Raw genomic sequence first — 26,369 nt, forward strand, 5'->3', positions numbered from 1 at the left:
CATTATTTCTAGGAATATATTTCTGGACAGAGAGTTACTGATTAAATAACTGCCCATTGATTTTTACTCAATATTAGCCTGTTAAACATTTAGCAAAAGCCTAATTGAGCAAGTATTATCTAATTAAATCTAAGGATGTTGACGAGGATTTTAATGCAGATGCATTTTAATTTAATGTTAAACAGTTTGGAATCTCCAGACCTTTTAATCAGCTTAACACTAGGCTTTTATTTTGTTATTCTTTTTCTTTTTTGGCTTTTTATTCATTTAGCCATGTTCCAATAATAAAAACAGAGGAACTTCTTTAGTTTTTTTATACTCAAACAAAACACTAACAGAAGAAAGAATCCTATTAAATAAGATTTGTTTTTATATTAACCCTAAAATAGCCATTTTAGGAAATGCAGGTGACAAAAATAGGTGAGATGTTGTAACATCTAAATAAAGAAGAAATAAAGCTGTGATTTACTAGATAAATTAATAAGTAGCTTATCATAGGAGGCAAGAGTTTTCTTAAAGTACTTGCCATATACCACAGACTTGATGTATATAATATTAACTTTGGAATCTGTCTGAATATAATTCATGAATTGGAGCTGGAGAATACAAACAGTATTGTTTCAAATCAAAGAAACATGAGGAAAAAAAGAAACCCCAAAATCAAAACTGCCAGTCCTTTTATGATGATAAACTAGCATGGGTTCCTAGCCACCTCCTTCAAAATCAAACTTGGAAAAACCAAAGAAAGGAGTAGGAATATGAATTCCACGAGTTAACAGAAATAACAAACAAAAACCCAACTTGGTCCACCCTGGGCAACTCCTCAGGCCTTGAACTGGTGAATCTGATAGGTGGTAGAAGGAGGCCCCTAGTGATCTTTAAAATCCTTTTAAGCTCCTCTCCTTCACTGCCTTCAGACAATCCTTACTTTCCCTTTCAGCATCAAAATAACCACCAACACCTGGAAGATAGTTATTTATGAACAATCAAGGCTATAAAAACATAACAAAGCAAAATGCAAACAACAAGGAAACAAAAATGTGTACAATGTATGTTATTCAGGTGATGGATATCCTAAAAGCCCTGACTTCAACACTATGCAATCTACCCGTGTAACAAAACTTCACTGGTACCCCATAAATTTATACAAATTTTAAAAAAAGAAAAAAAATGTGATGGGCTGAGAAGTTGATGAAGACAAGTGGAGCTGACCAAACGGCAGCAGGCATCCTGGAGCTTGCAGCCTCTTCCTTTCTAAATCGCCTGGGCCATTAGATTAGTATCAAAGACAGTCTCCTCAGCCAGCTCTTTCTTAAAAGTGGAAGTGAAAAGGACCGATGAGTTTGCCTGGGGGAGTGGCAGCAAACAGAGGTTATCCATAGTGGGGTTTGGAGTTTTCTGCCTTGGTGCTTATCTCCACCCCTAGTGCCAGTGACTGCACAGAGTAGCTGATACCTCCAGGGAAACAGGGGCTCACAAATCAGACACTAGATACCTGACTAATGCCACTATGGGTTAAACTGAACAATATACACATTTGAAGCACAATAATTAGACTTATAATTTAAATAAGTATAATATGTATATTTGTGCTTAGGCAGGAAAGGTTAAGATTGCAGCAATATGAAATCAGGAACTTAAATCAGATAATTGGTAATATTAGACATTAATATGTTATGGTTGAAATAAAGAACATAATAGAAGGAAAAATACCAGCCTGGATATACTTGAAGAATATATTAGTAATTTGCAAGATAATGTTGAAGAAATCTTCTAGATGATAGCTCTAAAGATACAGAAAATATACACAAAATTTAATAAAGATAAACTTAACAAAAGACAGAAGACTCCTCAAGTCAGAAGAGTTGATGGATGCTAAATAAGAGGAAAAAGGAAAACCCTTACCTAGCACATTTAATGAAATTTAATAATATCAAAGACAATGAGAATATTCCAAATGCATTCTGAGGGAAATTGCAAATCTGTATAAAAACAAGAATCAGATTGTCAAACATTTTGGTAGTAGCAGGATGTAAGAATAATGAAGTAATAATGTTAAAGTATTGAAAAATATCCAGCTGGATAATTCCTCAAATTTGAAGGCATAAAAATATTCTTAGGCATTTACGATTTCAGAATTTTTGTTAAGCTCATATAATAAAATTACCCTTGCAGTAGGTATTTAAGTAAGTGAAAAATAAATAAACAAATCCCAAAGGCGCTACAAATATCAGGGGAACGTGGGGTAGCCAAATTCTTCAGCAACTTATTGTGGAGGAGAGAGAGAGTGAAAGAACAAGCACAAAATTGCTAGGACCCGATTAAACTAGAAAGTTCATTAGTAGCAACTGAAAATTAAGTTCTTAAGTTCTAGAAAATATTAACAAAATTGGAACTGGGCAATAACAAAGGGATATGTCTGTGCTAAAGTAGTGGTTTTATCACAGGGACTGTGTAGATAGATATTAGTAAATTAGTGAACTTAAGTAAATTTGGTCATGATTTGTTCCCATCTTACTTCATTCCTCTCTCTCCCTTTGTATATCACATTTTCACCAAACTGGCCTTCCATGGTACCAGCTTGGAAGACACCAAGCTCCTTCTTGCCTTAGAATCTTGGAGTTTACTGTTCCCTGCTACAACAGCTTTCACCATGTTTAGTGCCTTTGTAAGGAATAAACACATTTTTCTTTAAAATATCTCTTCCCTAGAGAAGTCTTGTCAATTCATGCTATATTTAATACAAACAAACAAACAAAGATGCCTATTTTTCCCAATATTTCTCTGTGCCAACATTTTGTTTTTCAGCAACACTTTACTTCATGTGATATTATTTAGTTTATATTTCTACTCAATCTATGTCAGAAATCAGAAGATTGGCCGGGTGTGGTGGTTCATGTCTGAAATCTCAGCACTTTGGGAGGCCGAGGTGGGTGGATCACCTGAGGTCAGGAGTTCTACAGCCTGACCAAAATGGTGTAACCCCATCTCTACTAAAAATACAAAAAAAAAAAAAAAAAAAAAATTAGCTGGGCGTGGTGGCAGGCACCTGTAATCCCAGGTACTAGGGAGGCTGAGGCAGGAGAATCCCTTGAACGCGGGAGGCGGATGTTGCAGTGAGCCGAGGTTGCGCCATTGCACTCCAGCCTGGGCAACAAGAGCAAAACTCTGTCTCAAAAAAAAAAAAAAAATCAGAAGATTAAGAAAACATACTATGGTTCTTCAGCTGAGATCAAGCAGCATAACAGCAAGAAGATAATGTATAGGTTTAAAGTCATAAGAGGCTGTGCATAGTAGGTCATGCATGTAATCCAAGCACTTTGGGAGGCTAAAGCAAGAGGATTGCTGGAGGCCAAGAGTTCAAGGCCAGCTGCGGCAACATAGCAAGACCTTACTTCTACAAAATAAATAACTAATTAAAAAATTGGCAGGGCATGGTGGCAAATTACTGCAGTCCCAGCTACTTGGGAGGCTGAGGCTGGAGGATGGCTTGAGCCCAGGAATTTGAGGTTACGATGAGCTATGTTGGCATCACTGCACTCCCTAGGTGACAAGGTGAGACCCTGTCCCAAAAAGAAATAATAAATAAAATAAGAACTCAACTAGGTCTATTAAAGGAAACAAAATAAAAGACAAAAAGCAAGAGAGAAAAAATTAAGTTCATATATAATTAAATAAAACAGATATAGACACTCAGATTGGATTAAAAAAGATTTGACAACAAAAAAGGAAAATATTAACCACAAAAAAGCCAGGGTAGTGATTTTAAAATAGAAGAAAATAGAATTTAAGGCAAAAATATCACATGAGAAAACACTGATGTTATGTACTGAAAAAAGAAAAAATAGAAAAAGAAGGCATGACATAAGAATTTATGTGCCTATAATACAAGCTCAAAACATATAAATCAAAACCTTTCAGGGAGAAATAGGTAGGTTAACAATTGTCGTTTGAGATTTTATACACTCCTGTCAGAAACTGTGATCAAGCAGACAAAAAATAAGCAATTTATTCTCCACACAGAAACTAGAGCAAAATTTTAAAGATGTAAATTAGATCATGTCATTTCCCTACGGAAATTCTATAGCTTCCCCCGTTATCAGAATAAAATCCAGAAGGTTCTGCAAGTCTCTGTGTGATTTGGTCATCATTTATTCCCATCTTACTTCATTCCTCTCTCTCCCTTTATATATCAAGTTTTCACCAAACTGGCCTTCCATGGTACCAGCTTGGAAGACACCAAGCTCCTTCTTGCCTTGGAATCTTGGAGTGTACTGAGTTTACTGTCCCCTGCTACAACAGCTTTCTCCATGTTTAGTGCTTTTGTAAGCAATAAACACATTTCTCTTTAAAATATCTCTTCCCTAGAGAAGTCTTGTCAATTCATGCTATATTTAATACCAACAAACAAACAAAGATGCCTATTTTTCCCCATACTTCTCTGTGCCAACATTTTATTTTTCAGCAACACTTTACATCATGTGATATTATTTTGTTTATATCTCTACTCATCTTTGTCAGTCTCTCCCACTAGTGTAAAAGCCCTATTGAGGACTACGACTTTCTACCTCTCGCACATTTAAACTCCAGCAGAGTGCTGGACACACACTACATGCCAACATATTACTAAATTAGGCAGCATGGCAGAGGAAAAGATGTAGCTTTGGAATCCCAGATTTCCAACTTGCCAGTTGTGTAATTTTACAACTCTTCTGGCCTCAGATTCCTCATCTGTAAAAGTATAGTTTCTTAACAACTTAGCAAGGTTGGAAGGATGAATTCATTCATGAGTGAATTCATATGAAAAATTCCAAGAATGGTGCCTAGAATTTAGCAGATAAATTGGTGATGGTAATGAAGAAGATTGTGTTCTGGACTCTTCCTTCTTAGCTCAATTGCCCTTGATACAGAATTATCAGTGCAACTATAAGCTAAAACTGCCACAGATGGAATTCCTTGATTCTCTGTTCTTCCCTATTTCTTATACTAAAACATGGGTGTTAGATTCAGGTCAGGAAAACACTTGAACTTCATTTTGATTATGATGACAATGTTATCAGGCCTGCCAGGTTAAAGCAATCGCCATCTCAGTGTTGTTTCTATGCCCAGGAAAGTGGATGGTATACATTATGATTAAATAACACAGAATCTGTTCTGCCTCTTGCATAGAATTAATTTTGGTATAGCTTCCATTTCATTAGAGGAGCACTTTAAAACAGGTCAAGTGTAACCAAGACTAAATTGAAAATGCATTATTCTTTTTTGGTAGGCCCTCTAAGCTGATACATATTTAATGTAATTTTATAAGGAAGTTCAAATGTCAGGCAGACTCCTTTAAGGAAACAAATGTCTTAAATCTCACACTAGGTAATTTTAGAATAAACATTCAGTATATCTCCTCTACTATCCTGGAGCATTTTCTGGACAGAAAATAAGCTATTTGTGTGAGTTATGTGGCATAAAGCTGACAGTAGTGCATTGAATACTGTTCTCTTCATTGCCTGTGTCTCTTTGGGATTTACTTGATGCTTTCAGGAATACCTTGTATTTTTCTACATTTTCTTTCTCAGTATTGGATTCTTGGAATTATGGAGCTTTAACAAAATTTAAGTTCCTGCCTCACTGTTTATCCACATATTAACAGTTTTATTTATCAGGTTGTTTGGTCAGCTAGACAACCACAGTAATTTCACTAGGTGTAATAGCAGCTCCTTGTAGATAAAATAATTTTATTTGATGGTTTTAAGCAACATTTCATTTCCATACCTGCCCTGATTTCCCAAAAATGAATGCATGAACTAACGAGATGTATACTTTGGGCATTTGCATTTGTCATCATGGTACGGGATTTGGGCAAGAGGGATGAAGCATCCAGTGGAGTTGTAAGTTGTGGCCATAAATCATTATGTGTAGTATTTGGCTCTCAAAACATCCAAATCCGTTGAAAGAGGAGAGGTTGAAATTGTTTCCTTTCCTGCTAGAATGTTTTGGCAGAATCTGAAATGGGAATTTCTGGACCTCATGTTTGAACTGGTGGTATGGATCTCAACAGATCACTAGATTTTTCAGGAATATTCTACCAGATAGGAAGACACCTCTGTTTGATTCTTTTCCAGAAGAAAATCTCTGAGTATGTTCTGCGTCCATTTTTTTCCTATTGCCAGATCACCCTGTCTAGAGCCTACTGCCACTTAACGCTTTTTTAGCAGTAGATGGCAGCACGTGGCCCCACATCTTCATCCCGGTAATAAAGACAGAAATCTGAACATCATCTTAGTCTTCTCTCCTGTCTACTCCTCAAACTCCAGAGTCTTCAACTCCTTACATAAGTGACCTTTTAAAGCAGGGGTCCCTGACCTCTGAGTCACAGCCTGGCAACGATAAAAGGTTGGGGACTGCTGTTTTAAAGAATATCTCATATTTATCTCCAATTCTTTTTTTTTTTTTTGAGATGGAGTCTCGCTCTGTTGCCCAGGCTGGAGTGCAGTGGCACAGTCTAGACTCACTGCAAGCTCCGCCTCCCGGGTTCACGCCATTCTCCTGCCTCAGCCTCCCGAGTAGCTGGGACTACGGGCGCCCACCACCACGCCCGGCTAATTTTTTGTATTTTTAGTAGAGACGGGGTTTCACCGTGGTCTCGATCTCCTGACCTCGTGATCCGCCCGCCTCGGCCTCCCAAAGTGCTGGGATTACAGGGGTGAGCCACCGCGCCCGGCCTTTATCTCCGCTTCTTAAACTTCCATGTTTTACTTGGGCCAGCTGCAATTGCCTGTTAACTATCTCTTGCTTTTTATCTGTTTTTTTTTTTTTTTTCTTTTCTAAATTGACTAACAACAGGGCTCTTACTAAAACTCAAGGCTTTTCACATTGCTTTCCTGTTTTAAATTTTTTAATGTTCCTTATAATTTTCATAGTAAAGTTCTCTTTAACTGAGTCCAAGGATCTTCCATGATCTGGTCTATACTTATTTCAGGTTTCCCTCTCTGTCACTTTTCCAGATGCAACCGTTTGATCCAACTACCAGCAGTTCCAGAATATCATGCTCTTTTGTTTCTCTATAGCTTTGCTACATTTCTTGTTTTAAATCTAATATTAATTTATTTTTTAAAACTAAGCTTACGCTTAACCTACCCAGAAAGCCTTTTGAGATACCACAGTCCAATTTGGATCCCTCTTGTTTGTGACACTATAATATCTTCCTTGTGTCTTTTAAAAACATTCAGGACTATTTCTTTGAAGTTATAGGTAACTAGTACTTGTGTCTTTGTCAAACCTAATAATCTTTCTCAGTATTACTCCTCCCTAAGCTCTTTGGGGAATCTGCTCCCTGGAACACCAGCTCTTGTTGAAACATACTCTCTTTGGTGTTCTGTGGGTCGTCACTCTCTAGATTTGCTCATCTGTCTCTTGCCACATCTGAATTCTTCCAGGCTCCTTGTCATCCTTCCTCTGTGGAACTAGGAGTGTTTCTTGCCATTCTATCTTTAGACTTCTAAACTTTTTTTCTACATATTCTCCCTGGAATATCATTTCTTATATTTAGAACCACCACTTCTAAGGGATAAATCCTGTATCTTCATTTTTAATCCAGACTTGTGTTACATGATGCTTCACTATGACTTAAAACACTTTCACAACACTTATTGAAGTTTACCATTATGTATTTCTATAATTTATTATTGCTTGAATGACTCATTACACTGTAAATTGTATGGCTCATCATTGTATTTCTAGTTGCCTAGCACTGTGTCTAATACATACATACATACACACATATATATTATTGAGTACCTAATAATATATGTAATACATTATGTAATATTAACATATTTAATAAATATATTAAATATTATTTATATGTAATAAATATGGTGCATTAGGTGCTCATTAGATGAATGCTAACCAGATATTAAAGGGAACTAACTTATTTGCGAACAGCATCGGTAAACAGTATCTCCATATTTTAAAGGGCTGTGCTATCACATGCATATGGGAATTGCTAAGATATCTCCCTTTTCCTGACTAGTTTTCCGACTTTTTTATACCATTAACCATTTTCAGGCTATATAAAGAAAGAAAGATTGATAGAAAAAAAGGGCTATAACGTGTGGTTGGGAGAATGTTTCCATCTATCTCAAGCCAAGTAAGGGAAGCTCTTTAGGAAAACCTTGAGCAGAGTTTTCAGAACTGGCATGTACAGTTACACAGGTAGTATACTGCCCCCTAGGGGTGATAGTCACATCATAGGCTGATATAGTTTGGTTATGTTCCCCTCAAATCTCATCTTGAATTGTAGTTCCCATAATCCCCATATGTCATGGGAAGCACCCATGACATATAATTCAGGTAACTGAATTATGGGGGGTGGTTACCCCCATGCTGCTGTTCTCATGATAGTGAGTACTCATGAGACCTGATGGTTTTATAAGGGGCTTTTCCCCTTTTGCTTGGCACTTCTCTTCCTACTGCCATGTGAAGAAGGATGTGTTTGCTGCTTCTTCCACCATGATTGTAAGTTTCCTGAGGCTTGCCCAGCCATGCTGAACTGTGAGTCAATTAAACCTCTTTCCTTTATAAGTTACCCAGTCTCAGGTACTTCTTCATAGCAGTGTGAGAACAGACTAATACAGTAAATTGGTAGCAGTAGAGTGGGGTGTTGCTGTAAGGATACCAGAAAATGTGGAAGCAACTTTGGAACTGGGTAATAGGCAGAGGCTGGAATAGTTTGAAGGACTCAGAAGACAGGAAAATGTGGGAAAGTTTGGAACTTCCTAGAGACTTGGAGGGCTCAAAAGACAGGAAGATGTGGGAAACTTTAGAACTTCTTAACTTGTTGAACAGCTTTTACAAAAATGCTGATAGTGATATGGACAATGAAATCCAGGCTGAGCTGGTCTCAGATGGAGATGAGGAACTTGTTGGGAACTATAAAAGTTGTTCTTACTATGCTCTAACCAAGAGACTGGCAGCATTTTGCCCTTGCCCTAGAGATAGTGAAACTTTGAACTTGAGAGAGATCATTTAGGGTGTCTGGTGGAAGACATTTCTAAGCAGCAAAGTATTCGAGAGGAAACAGAGCATGAAAGTTTGGAAAATTTGCAGCCTGACAATGTGATAGAAAAGGAAAAACCCATTTTCTGGGGAGAAATTCAAGCCAGCTGCAGAAATTTGCATAAGTAATGAGGGGCCGAATGTTAATCACCAAGAGACAATGGGGAAAATGTCTCTAGGGCACGGCAGAGACCTTTGTGGCAGCACCTCCCATCACAGGCCTAGAGGCCTGGGGGGAGAAATGGTTTAGTGCCGCGGGCCCAGGGACCCCCTGCTCTGTGCAGCCTCGAGACGTGGTGCCCTGCATTCCAGCTGCTTAAGCTTCAGGTTCAGCCATGGTTAAAAGGGGCCAAGGTACAGCTTGGGCCAGATTAGTTCCCATAATCCTCACATGCTGTGGAAGGGACCCAGTGGGAGGTAATTGAATCATGGGGGTGGTTACCCCCATGCTGCTGTTCTCATAATAGTGAGTTCTCATGACATCTGATTGTTTTATAAGGGGCTTTTCCCCCTTTGCTCAGCAGTTCTGTTCCTGCTGCCATGTGAAGAAGGACATGTTTGCCTCCCCTTCTGCTATAACCGTAAGTTTCCTGAGGCCTCCCAAGCCATGCTAAACTGTGAGCCAATTAAACCTTTTTCCTTTATAAATTACTCAGTCTTGGGTACGTCTTTATTAGCAGTGTGAGAACGGGCTAATACATAGATATTATAGTTTAGTACAGCAAAATAATTTCAGTCAAGTGGCATTAAAATGTATTGTTGTAATAAAATCAGTATATTTTGATAATTTTTTGACAAATAGAAGTATAATATCTTGAGTAAGTGGTGCCTTTTCTACTTTGCATAGAGGTGCCACTAAGGATTGGTGGTAGACCTCAGTTTGATATTTATGATGTATTAGTCTGTTTTCACACTGCTGATAAAGACATATTTGAGACTGGGCAATTTGCAAAAGAAAGAGGTTTAATGGACTTACACTTCCACGTGGCTGGGGAGGCCTCACAATCATGGCGGAAGGTAAAAGGCACATCTCACATGGTGGTCGACAAGAGAAGAGAGCTTGTGCAGGGAAACTGCCTCTTATAAAACCATCAGATCTTGTGAGACATATTCACTATCACAAGAACAGCACGGGAAAGACCTGCCCCCATGATTCAGTTACCTCCCACCCATTCCCTCCCACAACATGTGGGAATTCAAGATGAGATTTTGGTGGGGATGCAGCCAAACCACGTCAATGATCTAGATTTTGGAAGCTGTAGAGACTAGACTGTCTCTCATCTAAAAAATATTAAAGATAAGGGACTAACCAAATCTTGACAGTAATGCAGAATGAAGAAAAAAAACTAGTTGGAACGAGGTGTATTTACACTGATAGGGAACAAGGCTCATATTTTCTGTTAACTTAAATAGTCCTTAACAAAATCAGGTCTTCCTGCTGGGGTAAAGGGACCTGCTTGGAAAAGGTCCATGCATGTGTTCGACTTATGATAGCTGAGAAACACATTATTTCAAAACTTAGTGGCTTAAAATGATGACAATTTATTTTGCTCACAACTCTGCATTCTGGACATGGCTCAGCAAAGATAATCCTTGGGGCTCTGCTTGGTATCAGCTAAAAAGGATTGAAGGCTCAAGGCAGACATCATGTGGAGGCTCACTCACTCACTCACTCACTCACTCACTCACTCACTCACTCACACGTCTACCTGCTAGGCTGGGGCTGAAACAGCTGAAGCTCCTTGGGCATCTCTCTCTCTCTCTGGAAACCGTGTGATTTCTCCAGCATGGGGGCTTCAGGGCAGCCAGCATAGCCTTTATGCCTCTCAAGGTATGTACCATGAAAGGCAAGAGTTGTATCACCATTTATGACCTTGCCTTGGGAGCCACCACGTAGTACCTCTTAAGCCACCTTCAGTTGGTCAAGGAAGTAGCAAAGGTTCGCCTAGTTTCAAGGAGAAGGGAACATAGGGCCCTCCAATTAATAGAAGAGTGTCAATGTCCCATTGTAGGAAGAACATGTGGCAGGGATTGTATGTTGGTGTAGCAAGTAAAAGGAGCTCTAGAAAAATCATGAAATATCAACTGGAATATATGTTGCCCATGTCAGAAAGAATTCCAGTTTGGACAGTCTCAAGAAAAGAAAAAAACAAAACAAACATACAAACAAACAAAACTGCTACAGAAATGCCTCAAAAGAAAGCCAGCATTTGGCTACATGTCACACCAATTCCTCAACACCAGATTTTGAGAGCACTACCATTTGTTCTTTTTACCAAGCTAGAAATTCCTTCATAAGATTCATCTCTATTTTATTCTGTATTTCATTTCTAATTTTATCTGATAACTCCTATTTCTTCATTTTAAATCATGAAATGACCAATATCATGATCAATATTTACTTCTTCTTGTTACCAGCATTGCTTAAGTACTCAATAGCCCATATCCAGTTTATTTTATTGCCTCTGGGCATTTCTCTCTTCCCTTTGCTCCTCCAATCTATCCTATATATTGCTACCAATGAATCTACTTTTTTCTAGCATTTTATGAAATTTTCAAATAAACACAAAAGTTGAAAGAATTATGCAGTAAACATCAGTATATCCAACATCCACATTTCTGAAACTTTTCTAATTTTACTTTATCACATATTTATTCAGCTATCCATCCCTTTATCCATTCATAAATGTATCTTGTTTCCACGATGCCTGTCAAAGTAAGCTGCACACTAAAGTACACCTCATTCCTAAATAATTCAGAATGCATATCATTAACTATTAAACAGCATTGAATATTTGTGTACATTTATTTTGTTAGGTAAAATTTACATATACAGTAAGTCCTGCTTAACATTGTGAATAGGTTCTTGGAAACTGGCTTTAAGAAAAATGATGGACAGTAGGTCCTCAACTCCCTTCATTAAAAATCGTTTTATTACAACATTTCTGACAAAAAATATCTGGTTTTATTACACTTTTTTTTTTGCATAAAGGTGCAGTTTCTCAGAACATTTTGACGGCAGTTAAGTGAAGACTTAATGTAGTGAAATGCATAAATCTTAAACATGTGACAAGTTTACAATGCCTCATATTAGTAAGCTCCATTTTAATTATCCTATTCCCCTTCTCAAGAAACCCAAATAGTTTACTATTGACTAGCAAAATAAGTCTCCCAATCTTTTCTTAATACAACTGCATTAATTCTCCAATTATTTATTTTATTTTTATTTTTATTGTCTTAGACAGAGTCTCACTCTGTCACCCAGGCTTGGAGTGCAGTAGCGTGAACTCAGCTCACTGCAACCTCCGCCTCCTGGGTTGAAGCGATTCTCCTGTCTCAGCCTCCCAAGCAGCTGGGATTACAGGCATGCGCCACCACCCCAGGCTAATTTTTGTATTTTAGTAGAGATGGGGCTTTACCATGTTGGCCAGGCTGGTCTCAAACTTCTAACCTCAGATGATCCACCTGCCTCAGCCTCCCAAAGTGCTGGGATTACAGGAGTGAGCCACCACACCCGGCCAATTCTCCAATTATTTTTGAAATCACTCCCCTTTTCTTTGATAGTATTGGTCCTACATAATCTGTGATGCCAATTTACACTTTTGTGTGTGTCACACTGAAGAAAAGTCAGAGAGGATTATGGAGGTGGTTTGGCACTTTGATCTGTGGACAAATAACTCCTGGAGTACAGCACCTGGTTAAATATGCAGGCTCTTCCACTAACTTGTTTTTGGACTGAGGGCAAATTATTTAGTATAAGTCTTAGTTTCATAATCTTCAAATTGTAAATCTGTCTAGAAGGGTTCTTGTCAGGTTTAGTAATAACATGTGTATAGTACCTACTGGAATGCTTAACACATAGTAAGTGCTTAATAAATTATATATAGCAGATGCTTACTGAGTGATCTTATTAATATTAGTAAGACATAATAAAGTTCTAAACTCCAGAAATTTTAAATTCAATCTTTTGTTGTGTTAATAAAATAATTTTCCATATCAAATAATGTTTTTACCTCAGATATAATAAAAAATAATTTGATTATGCATTAAGCAGCAAACAAAGCTTCTTGTTATACTTGGGCAGAAAAAGGTCTATCTACAAATTATATGTTGCTCTGTTTCTTCATTGGGGTTCACATGGGAGTGAATAAACGTAATAGGGAATAAGATAAGTGGAAAGTTGAATGGAGGCACCAAATTTCTGTTATTAGCTTGGTGCAAAAGTAATTGTGGGTTTTGCCATTGAAAGAAATGGCAAAACTCACAATTACTTTTGCACCAAGCTAATAACATTTTTCTTCAAATCTCCTTTAACTACCTTAAATATATACTTATCAAACTATATAATAAGCTCTAATTTTCTAAACACCTACTTGGAAAAATTTCATCTCCTAGCTAAAATGTTGAACTCAGTACTTCACAAATAGTATTCAATAAACATTAAACATTATTACTGATGTCATGTATTTTTCCATTAAAAATACAAGTCAAAGAAAAGACTCAACTGACATAAGAAAAATGTTCTTTTAAACAGTGTAGGCCCATGCAGAAAATGAGTGTGCTATTAAAATTAACTTTGCAAAACTTAGAAATATGATAACCAAATGAAATATTTGTAGTCATTAAATAATTGCAATAATTTTTGTTATTTGTAGTCATCTTGTTATGTTCTCAGAACAAGTAAGTTTTTGCAAAACAAATATCTTCTATTAGAAGTCTCTCCAAACCACGTAGCATTTACCTTGCAGTGCATAGATTAATGATTTTCAAATTGTTTTTGGGCTTGGCAAATGTGTTTTATCTAATTTTGCAGATGGGCAGCCACAAAGAGAAATTTTTGTATTTCATTTTTTCTTACTTTAAACAAAATCCTTTAAAAATATTGGAAATATCAAGTTGGGGAAACAAGAAAGTACTTAAATATGGAACTGTGATCATCGAGTTACCTGTCTAACCCCCCAAGTTCAATGTAAATTCCAAGAGGTGAGAAGTCAGATCTTTTTTTTTTTTTTGAGATGCCGTCTTGCTCTGTCACCCAGGCTGGAGTGCAGTGGCGCTATCTCGGCTCACTGCAAACTCCACCTCCCCGGTTCAAGGGATTCTCCTGCCTCAGCCTCTCAAGTAGCTGGGACTACAGGTGCCCGCCACCACGCCTGGCTAATTTTTGTATTTTTAGTAGATATGGGGTTTCACCATGTTGGCCAGGATGGTCCAAAGTCATATTCTTTTAATGTAGCACAAACCAAGTACAAAAGATCTTTGCTGAAAAAATAAATAATTTATTAAAGATCAGTTAATTTTTTTCTGGTAGATTAAAGGCCTGTGATGAACCAAAAAGTAATTAATTACTATATTTTCATTTGCTAAAGGTAAAAATAAAGAGCCATTAAGTCTGTGAATTTCAATGTGTTGTGAGGAAGTTATCTTTATGGGTTTTAGGTATAGTGGATATAGAGTTCTTCTGGTTCACCCTCTCTCTGGTGACAGGAAGAAGGATGCCTTCTTATAACTTTCCCTTTCTTATTTCAGTAGAAAGACAATAAGGGAAACAATGCACATGGTTATTGAATTCCATCTTAAATTGGTCTATTTATATGTATTTATATGTCACCATTTCTTCATGTAGCTTTGGCTGTAAATTTTAATGAAATGAGAATCGAATGAGGGAATACATGATGTGACTCTGCAGTAATTAGTGCAATAGAGATTTGACAATTATCCAGTTAATCTGATCAACAAAGACAGCCCAATTGGGTAGTTAATGTCTCAAAGTGGATTTATTTGGCCTAGTCAATCCAAATAGGCTATGCACATTAATTATATTAACAACACAGCTGCCAACATTATCCTCACTGTAGGACACATGGAAACAGCTCAAAAATAGGGGGTGATAAACCACACGAAAAACAAATATTGGATGATAGTGATAGCTTCTGAAAGAAGCAAAAAAGCAGGACTCAATTGTAACAAAAAAGAAAAAAAAAGCTGAAGTTATAAAAAATTAAAATAGCTCATTAGTACTTAATAATATAAGAAATAAAATGAGATAATAAGAAGAGATGGTGTAATCCTATGAAGACCATATCAACGTATCATCTTTTGTTTAAATGGATTAAAGATGATTTTAAAAACCTGACTTCTTTGACTTTTAACAACTCAAACATTGCACCTTTAATTTACTTGAGGTTTTTGAATGAAAATATGTCCAAGCCTTTGAGTGATCAATCTTTATTGATGATGGATCTAAATGTGGCTTATTGTCATAGTTAGAATATCTGCAAAATAAAATTATTTCTTAAAATAAGTGAAAAACTCAAAGATACAACCTCCAAACTACTATGTTAGATAATATGAATTTAAAGAATGTTTGTATAGTTCATCAACCTCACAGATTTTTTTTAAGATACACCAATTTGGCCTCAGAACAACTTTTCTTGCACGGAGTTTTTAATTAAGAAAATCCAGACGGAGAAAATAATGATTGCTAAGAGTATCAGTAGAGAGCATTCATTCCTCTCTGAGTACTGTCTTCTATGCCACCTTCCAAAATCCTAGAAAACTATAATGATGGACGGATAGACTTTGAATGTATGCTCTTATTTCATCAGAGATTCGTTATACTGAATTATTGAGTATCTGCAAAAATTAGAAATAAATGAAATGGAATCAGTCTTGTTTAAAATAAATTCCTTCTGTTGGAAAAGCAACTGTAATTGCAAGGTTGTTTTAGTTTCTGCTTGGTATAATATGACAGATGGTCAGTGGCAAGGAATGAGTTCCATCCCTAGCACCACAAAACCATGTTATTCATTGCTTTTGAGTTATTATGAAATGCAAATACTGACCCACATTAGCTTTATTGCTGGCCTGGAAAAACAACTTCCAACATTACCACAATACCACAGTTACAACAATTAGAGATGTTTCTTTAATTCTCTGGGGACCATTTATGGTCAATAGTTTTTAATCTTCAGTATTTCTTGTTAAGAAAAATATTACCTTAATTCAACCAAAGCTGAATGGCAAGTATTAGGATGTAAGAACTTGAAAACATCATCACATATTGTCCAGATTTGGGTTATTTTTCTAGCTGTACTGAAAATATTTAGGCACCATTCACTTCTTCCTAGAGAAAAGTTTAACATGTTTTCTAGAGAAGTAATATCTGTCTGATAGAACTTTCTGTGATGATAGAAATATTCCATAGCTATATTGTCCAATGTGGAAATCACTAAGCACTTGTAGCTACTGAACTGTTGAAATGTGGCCAGCAAAATTGAAGAACTTATTTTTAAAATTTTATATAATTGCAACTAGTTTGAATTTAAATAGTCACCTATGGCTAATGGCTACCATACTGGATAGTGCAGTTCTAGAGTCAATAACTAACTACTTGTTACTGTAAATTCACCTGCGTGGATTTTTTTTTTTTCCCAGGCATCTCCTAAAGTAAATCCTTTTTCATCTTGACCTTCAGGGACCAGACTCTTGGAGAAAGACTTGTCCTATCATGTGTGGGATGAGTAAGAACTATTCACATCATCTGGCATATTTAAAATACACGATATCCTAAATTCATGTCATAAGTCTACTAATTTATATTATAGTAAAAAAGGAAATTACAAAACATATTAAAATGCCCTATCAAAGAGTTTAAATTAAATTAAAATGGTCCATTTTATATGTCAAGATTGCCCCTGCCAGTGTTTCTTACTATCTTGGCTCTAAGCTCTTGCTCTGCCTGTCCTCACCCAGTATGTGGTTGGCATGACCCCTTTTTCTGAGGTTTTTGGGAGCCTGTACTTGGCTGGGGATTGTGTCAAGAGACCTGAGCTGTCTACACTCCTGGTGATAGGCCAGAGTTCTTCAGCTAAGGAGACACAGAGCATGAAGACTACTTGCCAACAGAAATCCCATGTCCCATTGTGTTTGATTTGTGAGCCAACTTGCAGCCTCATTTCTGAATTTCAACCCCACAAATGTAGTTTTTCAACAAAAATATTTTCAATTAAAATTGCTTTGACCTTGGACTTCCCTCAAAAAAGAGTCTTCTTGTTAAGAGATGTTCACAGTGTCAATAGAATGCAAGCTTATTAAACATTCAAAGAAGACTGTATTTGTCTGTTACAGTGCTGGAGGAGATAAAATGTTATTGATCCTAGCTTCTTAGTGGGCATTCTGTTCAGGGCTTTAGACACTGACAATAGTTAAAGGTAGAGTTGAAAGAAGTCCTTAGAAACCATGAAGCCAAATGTTGTTGTTCGAGAGATGGAGCCCTTCCTCAGAGGCCATCCAAACATTGTTCACATAAAAGTACATTAAAAAGTGCTTCCCATTCTTCCAGTTACTGAAAGGCTGAAGAAGCTGAATGTGGACTAATGCTGAAAGAAACCAGCAAATAAATAAAGATTACACAATTTAAGGACCATATTACTGAAGAAAAAAGGAGGGGATATATTTCATACTCTCCTCTCCCTATCACTGCCAGAATACAACAGGAAGCCTTAGACATAATTTAACAGGCTAACCAAAGCGAGCTAGAATGGTAACAGATTGCTGGACTTGCTAGGCTCCTATCATAAGAAGCTCAAAGTGCCAGGCATCAATCAAAGCTTTAGGCTTATTGGACTCTTATTTTGTTCTCATTTGGGAGCGTTACATCTCCTTCTGGGAACCAGAAGTTATAAACCTGCAGAGCCCAAAGCGCTGGCTGTGGGAAGCACAAATTCCCCAAGGCGACCACTGGGAGTGATGATAAGCAGGGTCACTTGCACCTGTTAGTTCTTGGGCCCAAGTATTATAAGTATATAAGGCAAAGCGTCATTTTATGGCTGTGGATTCAAAAAATATGCTGCATCCTGAGGGATTTAGCTCCATTTTCCCAGGGTGCCTTTTCCAAGCTGATGCCTCTCAAGCATCTTCAAAAGGCTATCGAATTGTTGTATCAGGCCGGCAGCATCTGGCTGGTAGGCTATGTGCTAATCCCAGTAAATGTCATGATCATATATTCACTGCCACACCATTTTTTGCTATAAGGTGAATCCCTGGGTTAGAGACCATGTTAGGCAGAATCCTGCCCCATGTTAGTAGGTCAGATACTGAGACTTCAGATGTTGGTGATGGATGACAGCATGAGAAAATTCTGCCACATAATGGTGACAGGAGAAATACATATGTCCCTCAAGTGATATACTAGGACATCTCTTTCCCTCGCACTAGTGTGGCTGTAAGTGGAGAAATATAGAAATTATGGCCTGATAAGAGAATGGCAGCCAGGGACTCAGATTTCTCAGGCAAGCTACCCAGAGCAGCATAAGTGCTGGAAAAAGGTGAAAGGAATCTAAAATGAATGGGTGAAAACAATGGTGAGTATCAGTTATGACCTGTGAACCAGATGCAACAATGAGGGCTCTGTTTCATTCCACTTAACCTTTTCTTATAAGTTTCCTACAAACTGTAACCAACCAAAATCCTGGAGAAGCTATGTTGAGGTGAAACAAACTTAATTTGAAACTTAAATGGATCTCAGTGGTCCAAGCAGTCATCAATGGTGGAGGTTTTTCCCCACGCAGATGTTTACTACAGGCCAGTGCCCACATTACCCAGCTGCTGTGTGGCTGATGATCATAGCTACTCCCTTCTCTGGAGAATCACCTTTGGCCTAACAGGAACTTTCTCAGCCAAAAGTCTATATACTCTCCTACCCCAACAGGCCAATAGCTGCTTGACAGAGATGGGGAGACTGACTGCTTTTCCTCAAGAGAGGGTTAACATGTGGTGCAATTTGTCTGGCAGAGGTTCCCTACGGGATCAGGAAGCTTGTGTGTATTGGTCACATGTTCACGGACTGGCGTGGCCCAAGGATCATTGCTCATAAGTCCACAGATCCCATGTTAAGAACTTATGTATTATAAGTTAACAAAACAAAGCAGGCTCTATTCATTAATTCAACATATATTTGTTGAGTGTGTCCTACTTATCAGTCCCTCTTCTGGGGCTGAGGAAGCAGCCTTGAGTGAAGAAATAGTTATTGCCCTCATAGAAGTTAAACCAATAAAAAATATATAATACTGCAGATTATGATAAAATTCTTAAATAAAAATAAGTAGCAAAGGAAATAGGTCCTCACTGATAAAGTGGTATTTGAGTAGAAATGTAACAGAGACAAGGAAACCAATCTTAGTGCTGTGTGGGCAATGAGCATTCTGGGCAGCAGCAGCATGAAGGGCAAATGCCCTGAAAACAAAACCTATGCTTGAGGAACAAGAGGAAGTCAGTGTGTCTGGACATGAGTTATTAAGAGGAAGAATGAGAAGAAAATTAGCGAGATACCACAGGGCTGGATTATGGCTCCTTGGCCCCTGAAAGAATTTATGTTTTATTTCAAGTAATATAGAAAACCATTAGAGGTTTTGAACAGCAGCAAGACATTAGCTAACTGATATTTGGAAAGGATCATTTTGGTTGTTGTATGAAAAATAGACTTAAAAAATATAAGGATGATTGTTTCCACCATGTCACCATTTAGCTTCTCGGTCTGTTCCCTGTAGAAAACTGGTAGGTCAGGCAAATGACAGTAGATCATGGCAAATGCAACCAAGTAGAAGCACTAACTGAAGCTGTTGTGTGCGGTATGTAATATCTTTACTAGAGAAGAACAACACAATATCTGGCATGTGGTATGAGGCTATTAATCCACGAATGTGTTCTTTTCAATATTTGTCATAAATGTGGATCAAAAGCAGTTTGTATTCATCTGGCATGGACGTTAATATACAATCATGGTCCTGTTCCAGGGATATTTTGCAAAACAGATAGGAGGTAGACTCAAATGTCCAGTGGTTGTCAAATATCAGAACAGTCCATTGTATTTATGATATCATCAGGTATAATGAGGTCTAATGAGCAGGAAGGGCCAATAATCTGAATGCTTTGTTAGGATATCTGTGTCCCAGAGAGTAGGAAATAAAACGAACGTATCTTCAGGAGCTGGACAAATCAGTGAAATTTTTAGAAATTCTGTAGTCTACTGCATGCTAGTGCATTTCTTCCAGAGTTAAGACCAAATTTTGCATTTTACTTTACTATCAAGAAGGACCCAGGCTGTTTGGTAGAACTCTTTGAATTTTAAACACAGCATAAACCACATTTTGGAATGATGCCTCTTTAACAGATGACTCAGAAAGCTGCAGTTCTGAGTGGGGCCTAGAATGATAGAAGGTTCTGCAGCAATATCAGCTGCAATACAAGCACCCTTGATGCCACAGCAATAATAAATGGCAATACTACTAGAGGTACCATGATAAATAAAAATGCAATGTGGGCTCTCTGTCAAATCTGAATGGAGAACTGCAGTGAAAACCCTAGTGTTCTGGATCAAGGCCATACTATTGCAGCATAGTTCTTTCACCATTTGGAAAGCAGCTCCTAACAAGCTACCTGGCCATAGTAAGACTAAAGGCCTTTGTATGGACATCAGTTGACCATATGACTGGAACTATCCCTCATGAGCTTAATAACACATGTTATATTGTCCAGTAGGCAGAGCAGCAATTTATTGAACAATGGAACTAACTCATTATAAGAAAGTAGGGTTGCTGCTACTTGGGAGAGCAAGAAATATTTTGAAATTTGCGGAAATCCACTGTTGCATATTTTCGTTTACCCACACCCAGGTTTAACTTCAAATAAGTGATTACAGCAACTACAGCATGATAAGGTTCAAAGGTCAGAGACACTTCACCAGCAAGCCACTTAGACTAACAGAAGTGATCATCAAGAATGAAGGATATTTGGAATGAGTCAGAAGAAGGATATGATGAATCAGTTATAACTTTGCAGCTGCAAGTAGTGAGAGCCCATTCGGCTAATCAATGTCTTTTAAGTTTCTCCTCAGAAACGGTGGCCAATCATCATCTATACAAATCCATGACAGGATGAAATGAGTTCATGTGGATCTGGGTGGCTCAAAGGATGGACGACAGCAGGTGCTGTGAGTATTCCACCAAAATCCCTTTGGGTCCCTCTCACTGGTTCAGTACACATCTCCTTTGGCTTCTGGGTGCTTTTGTTTCTAAAGTCCCACTACTGCAATTCTCTTTGGAAAACTTCCCTTTGGCTTCTTGGACAGTTTACCTGCATGTAAAGAGAATCAAAATGGCTGGGAGTTTTTCTCACCCTGAATGACCCTGAGCCAATGAATGGCAAATACTGGAGGATGAAAGCCTTGCTCCCTTGCCTCAAGAGGGGACAAAGTGAAGTGCATTTTACATTCCAGAATCCCTATGCAGGAGCAGGGAAATTCTGACTTCTTTCTCTTCCCTGGGCTGCCTTTCTTACTCCTTGGATGTCTTGTCCTAGGAATATTCTCATAGTGAGTCATTGCAAAAAAATTATCATCTCAGGATCTGCTGTGATAAACCTGACCTAAGACAGATTCCTATTACACATTTTGTGGGAAATTTGATTACCATTTTGAGTCTGGAATTTATGGCAGAGATTTGAGCTAAAAATATCTTGATAGCTGTTGGGCTATTGATTATATATAAAGTTATGAGGCTAAATGAGATCGCCCAAGGAGTGAGTGTATATAAATAACATGCTTCAGGACATAAGAAGGTCTCAGACTTTCTTATCTTCTCCCTTGAATAATTAAACTAAATTTATACCCATTTCCTCAACTTTGGTCTCAGGACAGACCTTAACTCAGGGTCTCTGAAAGTCCTCAAATTAGTCCACCTCATTTCTAGTTATTTCCTAATTATATATCCTACTTTACTTCATCAACCTACCAAACTTACCCTCTAAAGGTATATAGTCTGAAGGGATAGATGATTTATAGGTCCATTGTGTTAGCAAACCAAAATGGATCTCTCAATAAATCAGAACATTAAACACCTGTTCAGAGGTGCAAACACTTGGCTCAGGTTTTCAGCTGAAAAGAATTCTCAGTACATTTTATACATAAGAAACACTTTCACCTTGACCTTGCTGGAAAGTACTTTGGGATCTTAAAGGCAAGTCTGGAAAAATATGGAGAGATGAAGATTTACAGAAGTAAAATTAAAGTATATATTGGATCAGAAGAAAACACCTATTTAAAATGCTGTGAACCATAGAATACCTTGTACACAGTACGTCATCAAAAAATATTTGTTGAGTAAATTGTACTGAAATTGTACTGACTATCCCATGCATCTTTATTTATTGCAGAATTAACTGGTGTGCACATTTTATAAACTTTACCTTGAAATTTTGTAAGATATTTTAAGGTAGAGACTAACTGAAGAATTGAAATGACTCTCTGTCATGTAAATGAAGTCTAGTGAATGTAATAGGAAATGATGGAAACTAACTGAAATATCATTTTGTTAAGCTAGTGGCTTTTGAATTTCTTCTCATAAACAGATTAGATTTTGTGAGCTGCTTCCTACACACACCAAAAAGCAAAGGATTTTATTTAAAAGAAAATTCTGTTGACTTGAATTGGAAGTACAAGCCGTTCTTTCCTTTTGACAGTTGGCTTTTGAAAGGTTTTTCTTGGGAGATACATATTACACTGTTGCTAGTTAAATGTAATGATCCTTTACCCTAGAAGAAATAAAAGGCAAGATTTGGCTGACTTTTCTTCTTGAGGAACCTATTTGTGAGTAATATGTGTGTTAAAAAGCAGTAACAAGCACTAATATAAAAAAGTATTAAAAACTTAAGTGATGGATAATTGAAAGCTGCCTTTTTCACATCCAAGATATTTTGATAATCTCACATATACTATAGTAAACCTATATAACTTATCTGTAGCTTTTGGATCAACTGTAACGTATCCAAGGCACACCAACCTTACTTGAATTAAAAAAGAAGAGAAAGAAAGAGAGAATCATAGGTGTAACTGTCTTATATTTACTAAGACAAACTAGAAATATAAATTAATAAAAAAGTAAATTTTGCAAGGACCATAAAATTCAAAGTATAATTGCTGTTGAATAATATATGGTACAAAGATCCAGAGGTAAAAACTTAGGAGATATAATTTTTGATGTTCACGAGCAATTGCACATTTATTATTTATCCCATGTTTGGAATTTTTTACTTTCACAGTAGCAAGATCATGTTTATAAGACACAGTCCTGAATGGCAAAAATAATAATGTTCCATTTCATACATACTCATTAAGAAAAGTCTCAAGGACCTTGATGGGTTCTAGATCAATTTCTCTGTTTCTAAGCCAGATGACACTTCAGTGACTGCTGTTGAGCACCAAGACTCTCATGAACTTCCCTGGTAGGTGACACTTCTTCACATGAGCTGTCAAACTCATTGAGCTTGACAGTCTCACATAGATTGAGATTGTATGACCTTTATGACTAGACTGAAGATAATGCATTCTATTATTTAAAGTTCCATCTCAAAAACCCTTACAAAGTATTTTATATAACTTCTTCCTTATGATCTATGTTTTCTAGCTTCCATGGCTTGGACTTATAACCCTTTAAACAGCCTTCCCTGACAGTTGATCAATTCACACCCATTCTTCAAGTGCCTTTTTACATACTATGCTTCTAAGAAATTTTCTCTGCTGCTACCCTGTCCCAATTAGATGGAAGTGATGGCTCTCCGAATTCCCATAGCTTCTGTCTATACTTCTTTTTTAGGTAGCATATTAGGGGTTCCATTCACCACACCCAGGTTCAGTGACTTTCTGAGAGAACTCAGGACAGAATATACCCATGCTTATGGCTGTGATTTATTTGTATCCTTGTATCCAAAGGATACAAGGCAAATCAGCAAAGGGAAAAGGCACAGGGAGTGATGGAGTGAAGTCCAGAGGAAACCAGGAGCAAGCTTCCAGAAATTCATCCCAGCAGGGTGTGCTGGGATGTGCTCAATGAGTTTGACGACACATATGAAGAAGTGTTGCCACCAGGGGAGCTCGTAAGAGCCTCAGTGCTCAAAGTTTTTACTGGGGGCTGAGGGTGTAGGCAACCACATGTACCAAGACTCCAGACTCCCACAAGGAAGGCATGTGCTTAGGATAGCTGTGTTGTTTGCAGTTCAGGCACAGTGAATCATCCTTAACAGGTAGGGTGAAGCACTACTTATGGAATCTAAGTTTCCAGATGTCAGCCAAGGGCTAATCTTGCCACAGGCTATTCTCAGGATAGGAGTCTCATGCCTGTTATGTGAACTCTTCTGTGCACTGTTAGTTACCCCGTTTCACTGTAAGCTCACTAAGGAATGGGGAAGGAAAGTTTTAAATTATTACTCCATAATTCCCAGTATAGAACAAGATTTCTGATATGTGACACTCAACTAATGTTGATGATGAGAAAGTCTGATTCATTAAAGAACTGCAAGAAATAGGCAGGAAAGCAGACTTAGAAATATAAAAGATAATCTTGCCATTCCATTCTAGATGGAGTCCTTTGTACTCTCTGTGATTTTCCTGTGTCTAAGGACAGGAGATGGCATAAGCAGATAAAAGGTAAGGAAGACACCCATTATGAGTAATACTATTACTGACATAAGACAATTTATTATTTATTGTTGAATATATGTATACATTTTATGGAAATAGGAATATGCATTTTTTAAGGAAATAACTTCAGATCACTAACATTTTCCTTAATCCTGTCCACTCTGCATTTTATTATTATTACACCTAGAAAACATTGCATATATTATAGACCATGTTCCAATTTATTGGCTGAAAAAGATATTTATTGAGCACTTGCTCGAAGCCATCACTGATAGAAAAATATTAAGAACCCCATAATAAAAATAGCTAATGCACAGGCCAAACACTGTTCTAAGCACCACTGCAAGAGGTAGATACTAATATATATGCTCCTTTTACAGACAAACTTACTAGGGATGTTAAATAACCTTCCTAAGAGTTACTCTGCTGTCCATCCAATCACTCCATTATACTGATTCTCATACACTAGAAATGCTCACAGTTTTCAACATAAGCAGTTATTTTGACAAAATTAAGGAAAAAATCTTGGTTCCAATGTTAAATTTTTCCTCTCCAATGCTTTACAAATTAAACAACTTAAGTATTTCTAGATTTGGCCACTTCATGATTGAAAAATTATGTAGTCAATGAATAGTTTTCCACTTATCAATTTAAGAAAAAGTAGTGAGGACTCAACAACATATTTAGCATTGTGACTCATTCTGAACATAAAAGGAAAGTTAAGTTGGTTTAAATAGGTAAACTCATGTGCACTGAAATCTGTTTATTCCTATCACTGGTTGATGGTTGAGTGTTTGTGGTACAATTTAAGTTATGTTTAAGAATAGAGTTTTTTTATTTCTCTCCAAATAGGATGCAGTTTTATAATTAATTGTCTCCCACACAGAAGTACAATTAATACATACCAGACCCTGAAGAAGAACTCATAGAAGGGAAACTAGACTGTGGATTTTTTTGATTTCTTAAAGCATTAAATACTAAAACATGATAAACGGGCTGGATTAAGTAAAACTCAAAGAGCAGTTTAGAAATGCAGATATAATTTCACCCCTAGATCATGAAACAGTATTTGGTGTGACAAAGGCGTTGTCAGTACTGTTTACAAGTTTTTTGGTCATTACTTATTCAACATTAGTATTCAAGTTGAGACAGATGACAGAGTTCTTTGGTTTAGGCAAATCTCTTCATTGTGAAACTAGGGTGATAGATACTTGAAAGGCATTGTTTTAATTTATAACCACTTCAGAAAACCTCCTTCAGGTGACTGATATTATCATCATCCTTATGTCATAAAAGAGGCAACTGTGTCTCGGGAAGGTAAAGTGAACATCTCAGGGTCATGTAAGTCGGAAGCGACACAGCGGTGACTTACACTCAGATCCTTACTCTCCAGAGTTAGTGCTCTTAACCAGTAGGGCACATTGCCTCTCAAATATCTCTGAAGGGACATAGATTTGAATGTAATTAGAAATGTTCACTACCAAGCACTGAGGTACAATTCTCTATGTGTCTGTCACATCTCTGCATGTCTTGCAAGCACACACATTGACTGATACTAGACTATCTTAAAGAATGTTAGTATAGTGGATGGTGTTGCAAGACAGAGATATGGTCTCCCTATGGAGGAATGGCAGGCATGCTTACTCTTATTAAAATATTAGGGTCTGCTCCTATAAACATCCCAGTGTGTGTGCAGATGTTATCTGACCATTGGCATTGTCCTGAAAAAACTGGGCTTTGGAAACCAGCATAAGATAATGTTGATACTGTGGTCACAATTTTTTTCTTAATGAGTTATAAAGCCTTTTGATTCTGAAAACAGAAGAGAAGAAAACAAAAACGT

At 37.3% G+C, this 26,369-nt stretch overlaps 1 protein-coding gene and 1 long non-coding RNA gene across 7 annotated transcripts in view, besides 3 other annotated features; one reads left to right on the forward strand and one right to left on the reverse strand.

Annotated features, from left to right (window-relative positions):
- Positions 1 to 24,532, forward strand: part of LOC107986325 (uncharacterized) — a 30,340-nt gene extending 5,808 nt beyond the window's left edge. Inside the window, exons 2-3 of the long non-coding RNA XR_001741915.3 lie at positions 20,948 to 21,043; positions 24,464 to 24,532. This is a non-coding gene — a long non-coding RNA (uncharacterized LOC107986325). The remainder of the gene's footprint in view (positions 1 to 20,947; positions 21,044 to 24,463) is intronic.
- MARCHF1 (membrane associated ring-CH-type finger 1) overlaps positions 1 to 26,369 on the reverse strand; it is an 859,722-nt gene that overhangs the window by 148,885 nt on the left and 684,468 nt on the right. The window lies entirely within an intron of this gene.
- Positions 1,222 to 1,301: an enhancer, noted in NCBI's record as "active region_22104". NCBI's record gives its function as "activates an Ori minimal core promoter by ATAC-STARR-seq in GM12878 lymphoblastoid cells {active_cell/tissue: GM12878}" and the evidence as "EXISTENCE:reporter gene assay evidence [ECO:0000049][PMID:35858748]".
- Positions 1,322 to 1,371: an enhancer, noted in NCBI's record as "active region_22105". NCBI's record gives its function as "activates an Ori minimal core promoter by ATAC-STARR-seq in GM12878 lymphoblastoid cells {active_cell/tissue: GM12878}" and the evidence as "EXISTENCE:reporter gene assay evidence [ECO:0000049][PMID:35858748]".
- Positions 20,371 to 21,570: an enhancer, noted in NCBI's record as "BRD4-independent group 4 enhancer chr4:164614705-164615904 (GRCh37/hg19 assembly coordinates)". NCBI's record gives its function as "activates an origin of replication core promoter dependent on BRD2, P300/CBP, MED14 and CDK7 cofactors, and independent of BRD4, by STARR-seq in HCT116 cells {active_cell/tissue: HCT116}" and the evidence as "EXISTENCE:reporter gene assay evidence [ECO:0000049][PMID:35650434]".

Source organism: Homo sapiens, chromosome 4 (assembly GCF_000001405.40).
Source record: "Homo sapiens chromosome 4, GRCh38.p14 Primary Assembly".
NCBI lineage: Eukaryota > Metazoa > Chordata > Mammalia > Primates > Hominidae > Homo > Homo sapiens.